Source organism: Homo sapiens, chromosome 4 (assembly GCF_000001405.40).
Source record: "Homo sapiens chromosome 4, GRCh38.p14 Primary Assembly".
In the NCBI taxonomy this organism is placed as follows: domain Eukaryota; kingdom Metazoa; phylum Chordata; class Mammalia; order Primates; family Hominidae; genus Homo; species Homo sapiens.
The window spans coordinates 30,911,032-30,929,113 of NC_000004.12; the positions used below are offsets into that span (position 1 = coordinate 30,911,032).

The window sequence follows — 18,082 nt, forward strand, 5'->3', positions numbered from 1 at the left end:
ATCCTTGTCAGCAAACTAACACAGGAACAGAAAGCCAAACACCACATGTTCTCACTCATAAGTGGGAGTTGAACAATGAAAACACATGGGCACAGGGAGAGGAACATCACCTACCAGGGCCTGTTGGAGGTTGTGGGGGCAAGGGGAGGGAGAGCATTAGGAGAAATACCTAATGTAGGTGATGGGTTGATGGGTGCAGCGAACCACCAGGGCATCTGTATACCTATGTAACAAACCTGCACATTCTACACATGTATCCAGAACTTAAGGTATATTAAAAAAAAAATCACCCCCCCCCCCAAAAAAAAGAACTACTAGAACATAGCCATGTCCATTTATTTACAGATGTTCTATGGCTGTTTTTACACTCCGTTGGCAAAGCCGAGTAGCTGTGGCAGAGACCTATGGCCCACAAAACCTAAAATATTTACTTTCTGGCATATTACAGAAAAAGTTTGCCAGACCCTTGACTAGGTTTAAAATAACGCAGCAATAAAGAGCAAAACCTAAATTGAATGATTGTGTTAACAATATAGAGGAACCACAATTTGTGTTTTAAAATATAATATCTTTTTTAGAAGTTTTTAGAAAAACAATTGCCTACATTAACTAAGAGTTTTAGGCTTTGGCTATTCTGTTTCCTGACATTTTTCATTAGTGGCGGAAAAAACCCGAGAAGCTGACTTGCACTTTTAGGCTAGAGTAGTTCTTGCATTAGTCTGAATATTGAAATTCATTATTTTCTTCTCATTTGCAAAATCAGAATATTAATCTGATCCACATAGGGATGGCACGAAAAGTGACAACATAAATGAAATGAATAGCATTTTCCTGGCACAGAGTAGCTGCTTTTTTTAAAAAAAAAATTAATATCATTGTTTTGTTGCAATAATTAAATAGTTTGTAATCACTGGACTAAGAATTATAATAAGCACCTACACTCATAATTTCTAAAGTACAGATATAAACAATAATGTCAAATATGTAATTGCATTCAAGTCAAAGGAAATATAGTTATTTAACTTCTGCCCCAAATGAGAGTTTTAATTAATGAATCCAAATGTCTCAACATGTTTCTTGTTAATATCCTTTCATCTGCTATTGACTTGAAAGAAAGAAAGGCAGTTTGAAGTATGGAGGCATCTTGAAATGTTAGCAAAAGAAAACACCCCTAAAAAGTTTAAAGGCCTAACTAAAGTTTGTTTCAGAGTTCTGCCAGATATAGTCCAACTAATGCACTATGGAATCCTAAATATGTTTGTTCAATAGCCACTGACACTGGTTGAGACTGTTTGCAGATTAATCAGTGCCTGTTCATTTGCAAGGAAAGATCTCACAGCCTTAGCCCCTCTTTAAAAATGAAATGCAGCACTCCTTATAATAATGCAATGTTCTGCTCCATGACTGTTTCAGTGCTTTTTGACTGACAAAAAGAGTCATTAGAATTCTGTTTGATGGACATAACTAAGTGAATTGGAAAAAATAAAAAAGCCTTTTCAGCCCATTCAGAAATAATTGATGTGACTGAGACAGCTGTATGTGAGTTCCAGATAAGGAGACGATTTATGGAGAAACTACTGAAGCTAAAAAGGAAGGTGCAGATTTAAAGTTCCCAATAAAGTTGTCTGTAAGACAAAGAGCAGTATTCAATAAGGAAAGAGATTTAACCTGAGGTTCTTTCCAATAGATGGCATCCTTAGGGTCCTATCCTTTTGCCAATAAAATCCCCATAAAGGTAGTGTCACTAGGTTATAAAAAATGGACTCCAAGGGGAAAGCATCTGCACTCTTAGCCTTGTGCTATATTTTCTGTTTTACTGTAACTATTGTGTACAGGTTGTAACTTAGAAAATTTTGCTTAGTAGATGAAAGGCACTTATTTTTAATACGTCCGATTGTGGGACATAATATTTGCTTTTATGATGTGATGGTTACTTTCTAATTAATCTAACCAGGATGGATAAAAATAAAGTTTTTAATATTATTATTATATATATATTTGTTAATATTCTTCTGGTCTCTATTGCTTTTCTTGGAAACTATACAGGAACTTTTGGACAAATATTTTTCCAAATAGGTAACACCTGTGAATGTTACACATATTTTGCAATCATTGTATTCTGAAAGCAGAATACATTAATAATATAATATTGATAACATTAATAGTCATGTGAATTTCAAAATTAACTTCCTCAAATGTGCAGATTATAAGTAGTAAATGTTACTACATCAGTACTGTCAAAAAGGTAGGGTGGTTATATAGTTCTCTAAAATTAAAAAAATAATAAAAATGAAGTCACAAAACAAAATAAAAAATAAAGAAGTTATTATAGTACAATTTTGACTTCTGCTTTCTAGAGATTTAAAAATATGGACTTTTTTGAAAATTGTTTCAGTCTTCTAGTGAATTTGAAATATGTGGACTTAACTTTCCTTGAACTCTCTGTGTGGAGAGCGGGATAGAATTTGGCTGCTAGTTTATTTTTTGAAAAAAAGGTACAGTTTTTGAGAGCTTTTCATGTCATCTCTAAATCTGTCAACTGCCTACATTTAGGGTGACTGTTAGGTGCTTTATGTTATCAATCATAGAGATGCAATTTTACGAAAGGGAATAATGAATCAAATGCTCACGTCATTTTCCCTTCATGAGTGCCTTATCCTTTGCAATAATATCATTAGAACAGAAGCCTTCTTTCTGCAATCCAGATGGATTCTAATTCTTCTCTTTACCTAAGAAGGCAGTCTTTCTCTTGATCCCAGTTTCACCAATATGCCCATTTTAGCATCTGTTTATATTTTTCAGAAAACAAAACTACCCAGTGCAAATGCATTTACTGGATATGTCACATAGTACACCCCACAGCAGTCAATTTAATAAATCCTAATTTGCTATGTTTGTCCTTTTAAGTCTCTGAGATTAGTTTCATTCAGAAATGATCACTGTAATCGCACACCCCTTCCTCTGATCTCACCCACATTTTAGGGCAGAGGGGAGGATATGAAAAGGCCACCATGTTCAGGCCTCCCAACAGCAGAAGAGCAAGCATGGCAGATAGAGGACCTCTCCCTTAACACTTTTGCCTACTCGTGTGGCCTCTAGATTTCCAGAAAATAAAGTGAATAAAATTAAATAAGGAGAGAACAATGTTCATTATAAGTATATGGTAGTTTAAAAAAGTGTCAGCTCTAATGCATTTCCATCAGCTGGAGGCTTAGAGGGAGAATGATGGTACGTACAATGCTGCAGGAATTGTACATTATCTGGGTTTTGCCTTTGAATATATTTGTAACAAACTCTAAAATGTCTGAGTAGTACCTATAGGAGGGTATGTCCTTAAGTGAAAGTCTCTAGTATGTCATAATGGAAACAAAAATAGTTGATAAATACCATTCCAAAATAACTGAATAGAGAAATATTCATGCTTAATGAATGATTAGATTCAAATAGCTTTTAAAAATGTTGAGTATTATTGTATGTACATATTTGCATTACAAATAATTTGCATTTAGGAAAATAAAATTTTAGCACTTTAATAGGATAATTAGGTTTGAAATTTTTTGTGGATTTTAGAAATTCTATTTAGAAGCTTTACTTGGCCAGCTCTATATTTTCTTAAAAAGCATCAAAACAATGGGCCATAACTCTAGTTATATAGCTGTGGCCTGAGGTATACTACCGTTTATAGTATATGTCTTTGAGGGAGCTTAAGGCTCTTTTTATAAACTATCTCATTAATTCTGAGAGAATGTAAGTTAGCAAGGGGCAGTTACTATTGTCTCCATTATACATACCCTGAGCCTAAGGCACAACAACCAAAAATCAGGTAACTTGTCCTCTAGGTCACGTAAGGTTTCTTGGAATAGAATTCTTTTCTTGTTCTGTTATTTTTTGTGTACTGTTTCTTTCCCATTAAACACACATACACACACATACCCCATTAATAAAATTCCTCAAAATATTTTACTGTTTTTATAATTATTCTGATTTTATTTCTCTCTTAATTCTAGCTAGCTTGTCTTCTTTGCTCTCTTTCATTCTGCTCCCACCTTATCTTGTTGAGCACCCCTTTTTGCTTACATCTCCAAATGTTTATTTTAAAGCAAAACTTCTTCAGTGCCAATGAAGAAAGACACAAATGTAGATCAATAAATCAAACACTTTACAGAAATCTTTGTTTTAACTTCTACCCTATTTCTCTCTTTTTTCATACTTTTAAGGGTAGTAGTACATTCCCACTTTCTCTATTTCTCCATTGATTGACAAGCCAATCTTCTACTTCTTTTGGTCCAACCTACAATTGTTCCCCAGAGTTTAGAGATACTGTAGCCACAGTGGCCTTCTAAAGGATAAATCCAATGGGCATGTGGTAGTCAGCATCCTTCTTAATGTCTCTGATGCTTTTGATCACATAGGATTGCCTTTCTGGAAATGTTACGCTTCCTTGACTTCTGAGTTTTGAAAGTGACCTGCTTTTCATTCTCACCTCTGTTGTTGTTGTTGTTGTTGTTTTTGAGATGGAGTCTCGCTCTGTCACCAGGCTAGAGTGCGGTGGCGCGATCTCGGCTCACTGCAACCTTTGCCTCCCGGGTTCAAGCGATTCTCCTGCCTCAACCTCCCAAGTAGCTGGGATTATAGACATGTACCACCACGTCCAGCTAATTTTTGTAGTTTTGGTAGAGACGGGGTTTCACCATGTTGGCCAGGATGGTCTCAATCTCTTGACCGCATGATCCGCCCACCTCAGCCTCCCAAAAGTGCTGGGATTACAGGTGTGAGCCACTGAGCCTGGCCCTCACCCTTTTTTTCAAATTGCTTGCTTCTAGCAATATGGAGTATGGAATCCATAATCAACTCCCAAATATGTATTATCTATCCAATTTCTTTTAGAGATCTCAACCAACAAACCACTGCCTTTGCACTGCCTGTCCTAAATTCCTGAGTGTTACAGCATGTTGTTTATGCCTCCATTTTGCTGGAAACTTGATCACATTATATTTTTGTGCTTTTATGTACTGATAAGGTTTTGAGTTTCTTAAATGTGTAGAATCATTGTTGGAGCACCCTCGAAACCCTGGAAAATAATGGGCATAAAAATAAATGGAGGTCTAGTGAATTAATGACTCAATCCAATCAGCTACATGGGCTTTCTTCATAATGGCCTTGCTGTCCGTTTTCACTGCCACTACCTTCTCTCAGCCTTACCTCTCGCTAGGTAAATATTTCATTATACTTTATCTTCTAGCATAATCTTCTGCCTTCAACATTTCTTCTTCCTCCTCTTTCATAAGGAACTGTCAGAAAATGTCTTCATTATTGGCCTTTTATTTAGATAATTCACTTACCTAAAGAAATTCTTTGATTTTCACTCTCTTGTTTTAATTCATTCACATACCTCATCCACAGGTTTTGGAATAATTTTCTTTAAGATCTCTGTCTTGCAGTACTTATTCAAGTCTGTAGCTTGTCTTCATAATTTCAAAGAGCTGGCAGACTGTCACTCTTCCTCAAGCTCTTTTGCTTTCTCTTCTATTAGATAGACCAATTTACATTTACAAGACACAAAATCGTTTATCACCCCAGACAGAAAAATGCAAAGTTCAGACACTGCAATTTACTAAATGTCTTTATGACCATACTTTTAAGTCTCAAGATGGAACCAGGAGTCTACTGACTCTCCCTGGAAACTATTTTATACCCTTAAAGAACCAGCTAATTGCCTGGAGCACATTGCTTTTTGAACCTCTACCTATGTTCTTCCTGACAATAAAGTTTCTCATTCCTTTCTGTGCCTCTTCATCAGCTGGGGATTTTTAAAAACTCCCGATCTCTGAGTCCCGCCCTGAATGCTGATTCACTGGGTTTAAGTTGGGACCAGATATTGGCATTTGTTTTTTTCACAAGTTCTCTGGGTGATACTAAGTCACATCTAGGTTGAAGAATTATCACGTAAGCTATTCTACTTCAGAGTATCAGTAATTAACAAAGTGACAGTTACATATATAATGCAAATTCATTCTCTGTCAGGAGTTGACACTCTGCTTTACATTTCTGCTTTAGTCAATCTTTCTGGAATATATAAATAATATGAATATTGTGTCATAACCTTTGCGGTAAAACTGAACTATCTTTTCAAGACTCAATTGTCTGCCTCTCTCTCTTGCTGTTTCTCTCTCTGTCTCTCTCTCATTTCATCTAACTCTGTATGTCTGATATACTACTTAAATTAAATCTTAACTCTTGCATCAATGGGAGCTCTTTCAGAATTTTCACTTCTGTATTAATTTGGTTCACACTGCCAACTTAAATACTTGGCCACAAAAAATTTATTATTCAAAACTGTCAAAATGAATCTGAAGAGCTAGTGATATAATGCTGATACCATACTATAGCATTCTAATTAAAATATTTTAAAATATGAATAAAAATGATAGGTGTGATATATTATAATCCATTGTATGATACATTTTATTTTGAATATTTATTGTGAGTTATGTTTTTATAAATTCAGATATTATTTTAAATGCAAAAAGCATTTTATACAAGAAAGAATTGATGGATCTAAGTATTTTCTAATATATAAATAGATAAAAATATTTTAAAATTATGCCATTTTTACTTCTAAAATAATTTATAGAGATTAAAATATGCACAGTCAAAATAGGGTAGGAAATCAAGAAAACAAAATGCATAGATTCATAGCAGTCATTACATAGTACATTACAGATAAATCATTATTTTATTGTTAACATTTTTCATTATAAACATAGCTATCACCGGTTTCTCTGCTAGCCTATCCACTTTTTGTGGAATAAACATTTAAGCACAGATTCCAAAATTTTTCCAAAATTATTCCAAACTTCACCCAAATGTCACTCTTTTTTTCTACTTTTATATCAAAATGAAACACCATTTCTAATCATTTCTTATTTTCTGTTTCTAAGTTTATTGGTATGTCTTATGTATTTCTGTATTCATTTTGAGTTTTCTTTTTGTGTTAATGAAGGTATTCTAAAAGATTTGAAAGTCATTAAAATAGAATTAAGAACAGCAGTTGACCCTCCTTTCTCTTTTTATGTAAGTGTTTGTTTTTAAACCCATTGCTATGTCTTTAAATGGTAATATGTCTGCATGACCCTTGGCATTCTTAGCTAAATTCAACATTGTCATTAAAATTTCATTGCCCAGAAGTGTTTACTGATTATTTTGTGTGTGTAGAACAATGTGGTTTTAGGAGACTGTCAGTGGTCTCATTTCCAAGGTGAGACCAAAAACATTAAACAGTCACAGGTGTGAGAAGTGGGGTGGATGGGGTGGGTGAGGGTTGGGAGAAAAGAAAATATGCACACACAGGTAAAAATGAGAGTACAAATTGATTTCTTTATTTTTTTAAATACAGGGTATTTACATTTCTTTATTTTTTTTAAAATACAGGGTAAAATATCACAACTATATTACCATCAAGAAATATGAGAATCATTAGTGAAATAAGAATAATGTTTCTAGAAAGTTTATTGTCAGTAAATTTAAATCCATAACATACATGCTATGTATACTGAAAATATTTGTAATTGTTTATAAATACTGCAGTTCCAATTCAGTGAAACATTATAAAGAAGAGAACATGAATTAAATGTTTTCCTTTTGTATTAAGATTCAACTATTCTGATTTTGACTTTGAATTAGAATAAAAAGGAAACTTTGTAAAGATTGTACACTTCAAATAAGTACATGAATTGTGAGCTACTGGGTTAAAAATACCAATAATTCACAATGTTTTCAGCTAGTCTTCCATCTATGACAAAATAAAGGGTAATTTTATGGAAGCATGTGTTTGTCTTTAGCAAAACTAATTTATAAATTAGGGGGAGATGTTATAACTCTTCTTAGCTTTCCCATTAATAACCTACCATGTGCATATAATCCTTAATATTTCTAAAATTCTACTGGTCCAGGTCGTAATTAGTAATTTGTATCATGAACATTCAAGTTATAAAGGTGCAAAAAAGATTTTGTAAACTTTCATTATTTTCTAGCAACATTAATTTTTTACTTTGTAGTAGAAAGAAACAGTCTGAGTTATAAGTTTAAAAATATGTACACTTCTGACATTTTCAAATTCATGCAGCAGCTTTATGGATACAACTATTGCCAAAAATAATCTCAGACTGACATTACAGAACATTTTTATATGTTTTTCCAAATTATTATTATGTAGCACTGTCAATACATGGCATTGGTTTGTTCCTTTAATGAGCCTAATTTATTTTAATTTATTTTATTTTGTGGTTAACCAAGATAATCTGCAAATACCTTCCATAGTAAATCTTCAGTCCAGCCATTGTCAGTAACATAGTAAATTGTGGAGTTCAACTGGATAGTTTCATAAAATTTTTTAAAAACAAATTAAAGGCTGTACATGATTTTACTTTATTGAACGAATCACAAACAGTAATATTAAGAACATACAATTAAACTTTATAGTTTATTTCCTACTCACTGTTTAGGGATACTTTTATCTATTATTGCAATATGACTCTTACAATTTCAAGGTCCATAGGCAATATTTTTATAGGAATGATGTAATAAACATATTTGTGTTTCCTAGCACTGCATCTAAATTCCTATTTGTCAGCTGTACTTTGAACAGTTTAAGTCAACTGCCAACCCATTTGATTTTATAGCTTTGTATGATATGGACAAAGTATTTAAAAATTGAGTCTTCTTACAATGGATTAGTTCAATATTTACTGCCTTCACAAATCACTGACCTTGTTTTTTTAGAGGCCATTTCTGGAAAGCATATCTGAAGTGAATACTATAGAATAGAAAAAGGTTGAATATGTGGAACTAACATATCAGATTTAAATGTATGTTTTAGTGAAATTACTGTTTTTTTATCTCTGTTTCTGAAAGGGAATTTCCAGTTTTTCCATAATAAAATCTAAGCTCTAGACATTGCCTTAGATAATACATAGTTAACTAATGCAGTTTCAACATATCTATTCATTTTGTATTGAATTAGTTGCCAGTAGACCTTAATGTATGTAATTTATGTATTTTTTAAAATAAGATCATTTACAATCTTACATCGTAGTGACATTCAGAATCTTTTCTTTTGCAGCCATTTCGTAGAGTGACGTTTTCTGTTGTGAGTCAGCCTCAGGACCCACATCAGGGGTCACTGCAGAGTTGCTATGACAGCGGGCTGGAGGAGTCAGAAACACCAAGCAGTAAGAGTTCATCAGGGCCAAGACTGGGTGCGCTTCCACTCCCAGAGGACAACTATGAAAGGACCACGCCGGATGGCAGTGTTGGTGAGGCAGAGCATATGGAAAATGGTAGGGGCAAACACAACATCCACACACATAATCACGCTAGTGAGCCGTAATAAGTAGACTCGCGAAGGTCAGTCTAAAACCAAAATAAAATAGCTGACATTAAAACCATTTTATTTTAAGTGATAAATATTTGCTAAAATACAGAAATGCCAAATAAAGGAACATAACTCTGTAGATAAAATTCACCCAAATTGCACCATCATTTTAAAACATCCTGTCAGAAATAAACGCACTTATAAATAAATCAGAACAGGGCCCACTATGAAGGAAGCTAAATAAGTGCAGAATTCCTAAACAATAGTCACCAAGAAAGGTCTTGTCTAATTGTTTTCTTCTATTCATTTTTGTCATGCAACTATTTCTTCAATTGCAGCTGTCCAGTCTTAGTGAAAGGAAATGAAAGAAACATACCTTGCTCTACCTTTTCTTGTCCTAGATGTTTAGAAAAGCATTTTCAAACCTCTCCTTTCCTATGATCACTGAATAGGGTCAAAAGAGAACAGTACTACTTTGTTCTCCATAGTATGCAATAAATGCTATTAGAATTTCCCTCCTATTCAAGTATAAGGTTTTTTTTTATTTTTATGTGAGAGAAAGGAAGGAAAATAAATCATAATACTCCATATTTTTATACTGTTTTGAGGTGATTCTCATAATTACCACAATTGGCCTTGTATACATTTTCTTTTAAGTTATACATTTAGATTGCAAATAGCACTTATAAAACTTTCCACATTTGTTTATATTCCCAGAGATAATTTGGTGATTTATTTTCTGGATTTTGAGTCATAAGTAAATGCCTGAGGAATAGGTTTGTGTCAAATAATGGAATGGTAAAATTCATCCTAACTTCATTATTCTTTCAAATATGAAGAGAGAGATGGTTAAACAGAGAGAAAGGAAAGGAATCACACACATTTTATCCCTAGTAAAACTTGCAGTGGATTTATGTCTTTTGCCATCTCAACCCCCGAGTGACATAAGACGCTCTAACTTTTTGTTATATATCCGTTTCTTTAGTGCTGATATATATGCAAGTAGAGCATATTAATGCAGGAGAAAGACTGATTTTCTTCTGTAAGTTTACCTATGAATATTAAAATCCAATATTAGAATATAATATATTATAAAGGACCCCAAATGAAAGTATTGCTAAATTATATTATGCTAAATAATTATTTATCCACATTGTTCTTGGTTAAGAAAATATGATATCAGGGTCTGATGATTGACGTCCCTCTTGATTAATTTTGCAGAGTTAAAATGGCATTTTGCCTTATGGCTATAAAAGCATGCTTATCTGTGTGTATGGTGGTGTGTGCTTATGTGGATGGGAGTCTGGTGTGGTTTCTAAGAGTTACATTTTTTTTAGTAATTTTTTTAATGGGCATATAATTTTGGTATGAATTGCAATGCTGATGAATATATATTTAAGGCAGATATGTTTAAAATTATTTGGAAAAAGAAATTAAACTAAAAATACTGTAATTACATACATACTATGTAATTACATATGTAATTTGGATGTCAGCTTTATTAAAAAAGGACTTTGTACCCCTGGCATTATAATCATTTTTCAATGTTAGTTTCTGTTTTATGAGTTTATGGGGATTCATCACCTTTAAAATAAGAAATAAGTGATGAATAATTAAAAGATAATTATGTAATTACATGTATGTAGCCACATGTAATTGCATGTATGTAGTCACATGTACTATAGTGTATTACGTTACATATGTGTAACGTGTAATTACGTATGTGTGATATATGTAATATATAATATGTATATAGTACATATAATTACTTATATGTACATATGTATGTAATTACAGTATTTTTAATATAGATAGATGATAAATAGAGCATACCTAGGAAGGCAGGATTAATTTAATTTAGGGGTATTACTACATCTGAGATTACCTGTTCATGAGAACATATAATTTTGTTTGTGTTTTTAAAAGTGCTTATTCTTACTGTAAAGCACAGAATGTACAATTAAATCTTTATTTTTTGGATGTCAGCTTTATTAAAAAAGGACTTTGCACCACTGGCATTATAATCATTTTTTAATGTTAGTTTCTGTTTTATGAGTTTATGGGGATTCATCACCTTTAAAATAAGAAAGAAATGATGAATAATTAAAAGATAATTATATATGACAAACACATATCGGTTACCTTTTAGGAAACACACATGTCATGGAAAACTTAACAGGTGAGCTTGTTAATAAAATATAAAGTATACTGAGAAAGAGTTCCAAAAAACGACTTTTAATTCTTTTTTAGAACCAAGTTTTTAAGGCCTGTCAAAAGCAAGGGTCATGATAATGTAACGGATCTTTCCTGATTTTGTATGTGACCAACACTTGAAAGTCAGAGTTTATATGACCATTTGTCATCTACTGGCTGTGATTCATGTTAGCCTTGATCTATAGGTAATGACAAAATGAGATGCGATGCACTGTGGCTGATCTAAATGTAGCAGTTGACCTTTGAGTAACAAATTTGTTGGGTCCGTGTTTTCAGACTACTCATCTAGCCATAAAGTGCAATTGTGTTGCTTAAATTCTGGTAATTTCATCTTCAGTATTAATGGATCATTCTGACATAAATAGAATTGGAATTGAAACCTGTCAAGTATTCATTTGTCACATTTAATTGGAATCCAGGTAATCTGTAGTTTTTTGCTTGGCTAGGTTTTAATCAGGATTTGTATTGGATTTTCATTTGGATTTTCCATTAAAATACCATTTTGGATGCTGTGCTAGTTCCTAATTATTATTACCTCAAACATTTTTCTTGAATTTTAACCTATGTGAAACAATGCAGTTATCAGCAAGTGTTTGGGATTAACTTTCATTGTAAAGTTTAGAAGATAATTTCTAGTGCAATAACAAGTAAAATTCCAATGTCATGCTAACAAACCAGGAATAAGTTAGGATAGCTAATGATAAAAATACATTTTCACAAATGCAGAGAAGGAACAGAAACAAGAAAATTTAAGTGAAATGTACTTACATTTTACAAAAGCGTTATCTTCCTTCTGTACTGTAGTATGATGAATACAATTTCATTCAAAGGGCCTGTGTATTAATTCCCTGTTTAACAAGCTTTACGCTATATTCTAAAACACATTACCGCCAAATGTAGAATGAGGTTTTATTCTCTTATTAGCTAAGGAAAAAGAATATACCATAAGAATAAATATAATTTCTTACCACCGGAATCTAATAATGTAGAATGAGATCCACCATTTTAAAGTTCCAAATCTGTAGAATGCCACAGGTCCCTGGAAAGTAACACTAGAAATTACCCCATTTAAAAAATATTTTAAGAAAACCTTATTAGTTATACATTTATTTGTGACAAAGATTACTAATATATATTTCTTTGCCTTTAATTATCATCATTATGATAATTTCATGCTAATCTTTTAATATCAATCTAATCAAAGATTGAGGAAATTGGTTATTTGTTTCATTAAAATACATTTAGCAATAAAGTAATAATTCATATAGAGTTTATGGGGGAAATAGGTAATACAAACATTTGACAATGAAAATGTTAGAATAATTGATGCATATTGCAATGGATTGGTAATTCAAGTTAAAAACCAAACATTAGGCTTAAAAGCACCATCTCATTCAAGGCAAGCATTGACTGTGCAAGAGTTTGCTCTTATTTTAATTACGCAGTAGTCTTCAGACTTTCTCTTGGAGTGGTATACAATGGTTTCTTTAGGTCTATTGTATTTATCCTGGTCCCTACCTTCATGCCATGACCTACTTGATCTTTCCAAAGCCCCCTCTAAATTATCTTTGCAAAGCCAGTTTGCCTTTGCTATGTAAGTCTTTATGATAATTAGTGTTTAATAAGCTCAGATATAGAAAACACCTTGCTTGGCTTCTCATCTCAATTTTGCCATCAGCATTGGGTAGGCTACTGTCTAAGGAAATTGATAAATCAACTCTGAAATCTTACTCGGTTCCAGGTCCAATAATCTGTGATTCTCTTACATTCAATTTTTCTTGTATCTTTTATGCTATAGAATGGAGACATTTGTCTCATAGTAAGATAGTGAGTGAATTTGACAATGTATGTTAATGTGGGCAGGCCAGTAGTGATTCTAGGGCCTTTCTCTGAACCCACACAGCAAGTGCATTTTAATAGTAGAAAATGCATTTATTACATAAATCAAAGGAGTGGACTGAATCAAATGGTGTGATTTCTGGCCAGGTGGGTGGAAATGTTGGCACCATAGTAGGCCAGTGTGGGAGACAGCTGTGGAGCCTCCTTCAGATCCCACTATGCAAGAACCATCTGTAGATCTGATCAAGCCCTGGGTGCAATGCCCTTGAAATACATGAATTATGATTAAGACATTTCACAATAGAATAAGCACATGTGTTTTCTTACTTAACAATGTGAACTTTGGTCAGAGTACAAATGAAAAAAAAAAGGTAGGAAATAATATATATTTTTCTGTAGGTAGACTTTCTTAAATATCACACCATAAAAATAAATTAAAAAAAAAACAGCAGATGATCCATAAACCAGGTTTATAACAAGTTAAATGAGGTTCGAAATTTGGCCACTCTAAATCCCTAATTCATTTTATGCCTCTTGATTTTCTCAGATCTTTAAATAATACTTTTGACTTTATACATGAATATTTTTGAACTTTCCCTTTCCAAACTTCCTTACTTTGTCACACTTATATAAGCTAAGCTCAACTGTTTGATTCATTCCATTTCCTTCATCTCTTCATTCTACATGCATTATACCTTGTCCTTGATTATTTAAACATGCTGCAGTAAAACATGGACTTTTCATATTGCTTTTAGACAGTGTATTTGAAATATCATTGAGAATAAGCCACTAATTTTAAATGGCCAAGTGTAATGAGCATAGAGACCAAAGGCATATCTTTGTATGAGATAAAGGACCTCCTCTTTCTCTCTCCTTTTCTCCTGTCTCCCAATTTTCAAGCAGGCATCTGTCAGGCAAAGTTGTCTAGTTATTGGTTTGTGCTGATTTCACGTAGATTGAGCAAACTTCTCTAGCAAGGCTGCCTCTTCCATCTTTCCAAAGATCCTCATATACTTTTTAATGGCATAAGCACAATACCTAAAATACCAAATACCTGTCATACCTTTTTTCGTCTTCTGCAGAAAGAGACTAACATGACTTGCTAAGGATTCATTTTCACAGTTTTGCATTTCTCTGTGCCACCCTAGTTGCCAGTGTCTGACTGAGGCTGCAATTGTTTTCACCTTTCCTGTCAATTGTGACATGGCTCTATACCTCCCAAGTATCCCCCAAAAGTCTGTATGCCACCACTTTGGGAGGGTGCTATTCACTTTGAATTTCTTCATAGTAATATATAGAGAGATGGATTATAGAGACTGTCTCTAAGCCAGAACTCAACTAATTAAAATGTGTGCTATAGTGGCTTCTCAGCTGTCTAGTAAAATGAGCAGTACAATCTAAAAGAGTCTAAAGAAGGTACTGTCCTAGAGAAGAATTGGCAGTGCTGTAAGTAGAATCTACTGGTTTACAAAACAAGCTTTGAAATCTGATGACCTCAGTTTGAATCCTGGCTTTACCTCCTACAAGGAGTATTATTTTCTAACCCCTCTTAGCTTCAGTTTGTTCAATTGCAAATCATAGGATTGCAGAAGGAACTAAATGAGACAATAATATGCAATAATTTATAAATAAGTAATAAGTTGTATTTTCACTATATTAATTGATAAAATGTTTTACCATTATTATTTAAATAACAATGATAAATAGTTGGGATTATTATTAACTTTAGGTCGTTTTTTTTTTTTGAGATGGAGTCTCACTCTGCCACCCAGGCTGGAGTGCAGTGGCACAATCTCGGCTCACCGCAAGTTCCGCCTCCTGCGTTCAAACCATTCTGCTGCCTCAGCCTCCAGAGTAGCTGGGACTATAGGCGCCCGCCACCACACTCGGCTAATTTTTTGTATTTTTAGTAGAGACAGGGTTTCACCATGTTAGCTAGGATGGTCTCCAACTCCTGACTTCGTGATCTGCCTGCCTCAGCCTCCCAAAGTGCTGGGATTACAGGCGTGAGCCACCACACCCAGCCAACTTTAGGTAAATTTGATATAATACAATGGCTTAGTCATGAGGACTTCATAAAATGCTCAGCCTCACAAATTTAGCATTTTTAAATTACCAGTATAAATTATATTCTCACCTTAAATATTTTCCAGTTAGTTTTTTTTCTTTTGTTTCGAGTACCATAGGGTAGTACTCATGACTAGTGACTTATAAATATAGCAAGGACCTAAAATGAGGGGAAGGAAGTCTTCTATCTCTTGGCATCAAACCAACCGACTCTTTGTGTTCTTTGTCATTCAAGGTAGGGAGATGTCATTATGGTCTTTCTACATTCTTTTCTCTTTTTTTAAGTGTTCTAGTTGAATGCATTATTTTTCAGGTGTACACCTCCCTTTAAAGTGCTGCAAATTATTCACATTAACAGGGAAAATTAGCTGAAAATAATGTCCAATTAGTATGCTTACCAGATTCTCAGTCCTTTCTTTTCTAATCTCAATATTAATAATTAACTCTGATAAAATGTGTGGCCGTATTACCCTTTTATTCTAATTTGGTCCTTTTAAACTAGATCACTTTGCTGAACCCTTATGACATTTGAGGAGGGAATGAGCGCTCATCAAATCTCAAAGTGACTTTGGAGGTCAGTTAGTGGTTTTGTTACCTCCAGACTCCCAAAGCTTTTGCTTGTGTGAATTTCAGCACTTGTTGATAATACATTTGATTGTTTTAGTTCCTTATTTAGTTAAGGTGTTATCTCAGTCTTTCCTGTGAATTCTTTTTGCTTATAGATTACATATAATTCTATTCTTCCTCTGATGTTATTGCCAGATTTATGTATAAAAAAACCTTGTGCTGTGAGGAGCCCGTCTGCCCGGCCACCACCCCGTCTGGGAGGTGTACCCAACAGCTCATTGAGAACGGGCCATGATGACAATGGCGGTTTTGTGGAATAGAAAAGGGGGAAAGGTGGGGAAAAGATTGAGAAATCGGATGGTTGCTGTGTCTGTGTAGAAAGAAGTAGACATGGGAGACTTTTCATTTTGTTCTGTACTAAGAAAAATTCTTCTGCCTTGGGATCCTGTTGATCTATGACCTTACCCCCAACCCTGTGCTCTCTGAAACATGTGCTGTGCCCACTCAGGGTTAAATGGATTAAGGGCGGTGCAAGATGTGCTTTGTTAAACAGATGCTTGAAGGCAGCATGCTCGTTAAGAGTCATCACCACTCTCTAATCTCAAGTACCCAGGGACACAAACACTGTGGAAGGCCGCAGGGTCCTCTGCCTAGGAAAACCAGAGACCTTTGTTCACTTGTTTATCTGCTGACCTTCCCTCCACTATTGTCCTATGACCCTGCCAAATCCCCCTCTGCGAGAAACACCCAAGAATGATCAATAAAAAAAACCAAAAAACAAAAAAACCTTGTGCTGCTAAAATATAACACTCTTAAGCATCTTCTATTTGGTAAAGGAACTGTGGATCTTGACTGTTTAAGTATATTTAAGTTTAGTAGTCTTTTTTTTATTTTTATTTTTTAATGTAAGGTCTTGCTCTGTAGCCCTGGCCAGAGTGCAGTGGCACATTCTTGGCTCACTACAGCCTCGACCTCCTGGGCTCAAGCGATTCTCTCACCTTATCCTACTAAGTAACTGGGATTACAGTCATGCACCTGTTCAAGGCTGTTCTCAAACTCCTGGAATCAGGGGATCCTTCCATCTTGGCCCTCCAAAGTGCTAGGATCATAGACATGAGCCACCCTGCCCAGCAAGTTAGTACTCTCAACCTCAGAGGTTAGACGACCTATTGAGAAACCATTTTATCTCAATATTCCTCTTCTAAGGTAAAATACTTTCCATTGTTACCTCTTCTCTTGCAGGTTTTTAATAAGTAAAGTATTTTTTGCTTTGCTAATAAAGCAAAGTAGAACAATAGGTGTCTCTTGTTTCATGGGGCAATTATATAGTGTCAAAGCTGTGTTTATTCATTTTGATTCAACAAACCAATACTGAAAATAAAATATGACCAAGGCTTTCTGAGGAAATTTAAGTAAAGGAGAAAGAATCTCGGCCTTTAAGATGGAAGTTTTTATGCTCAAGAGATACAACCTTGATCACAGTAACTTAATTATAATGAAAAAATAGTAAGCTCATTAGAGAAGTTCAGAGTGGTGTGAGGTACAGAGGAGGGAATGGAAAATTATACGGAAGAAACAATTATAGACGCAAGTTTTGAAAATTTTTATTTTATAAATCAAATGTTGGACAGGAAGAAGGCCATGAAATGTTCTTTGGCTGCACATCCTCTCTCTTTATCTACTCATCTTTGATATATTTAAAAACAATTATTATACTGGCCTGGAGGCTTCATTTGAAGCCAAATAAATTCAGATTATTTGTTTTATTTTTCTAATTGAGTTACTGTTACCTTTTTATGTCTTCTTTTTTCCTTTTTTCATTTTTTAATGCTAAACACAATTAGTTCAAAAACTCTAAAATTTATCCTTGATGAAATTGGCAGCAGAAACTAAATCCAGATCTAAACTATAAAATAGATTAATTTTGTGTCTTTCTTTTCTCTCTGCTTATAAACATGGATAATTACTAAAAATATGTGTGCTGTAAATAAGGCCTTTCAAACTCAATAATAACCCGTAAAT

At 33.9% G+C, this 18,082-nt stretch overlaps 1 protein-coding gene across 2 annotated transcripts in view; it reads left to right on the forward strand.

The window, feature by feature from the left end:
• Positions 1-18,082, forward strand: part of PCDH7 (protocadherin 7) — a 426,432-nt gene that overhangs the window by 190,663 nt on the left and 217,687 nt on the right. The window contains exon 2 of one of the 2 annotated variants that reach the window (NM_001173523.2): positions 9,122-9,338. In NM_001173523.2, the coding sequence (NP_001166994.1) occupies positions 9,122-9,338 (217 nt within the window). The remainder of the gene's footprint in view (positions 1-9,121; positions 9,339-18,082) is intronic. The other variant, NM_032457.4, reaches the window with a different exon arrangement.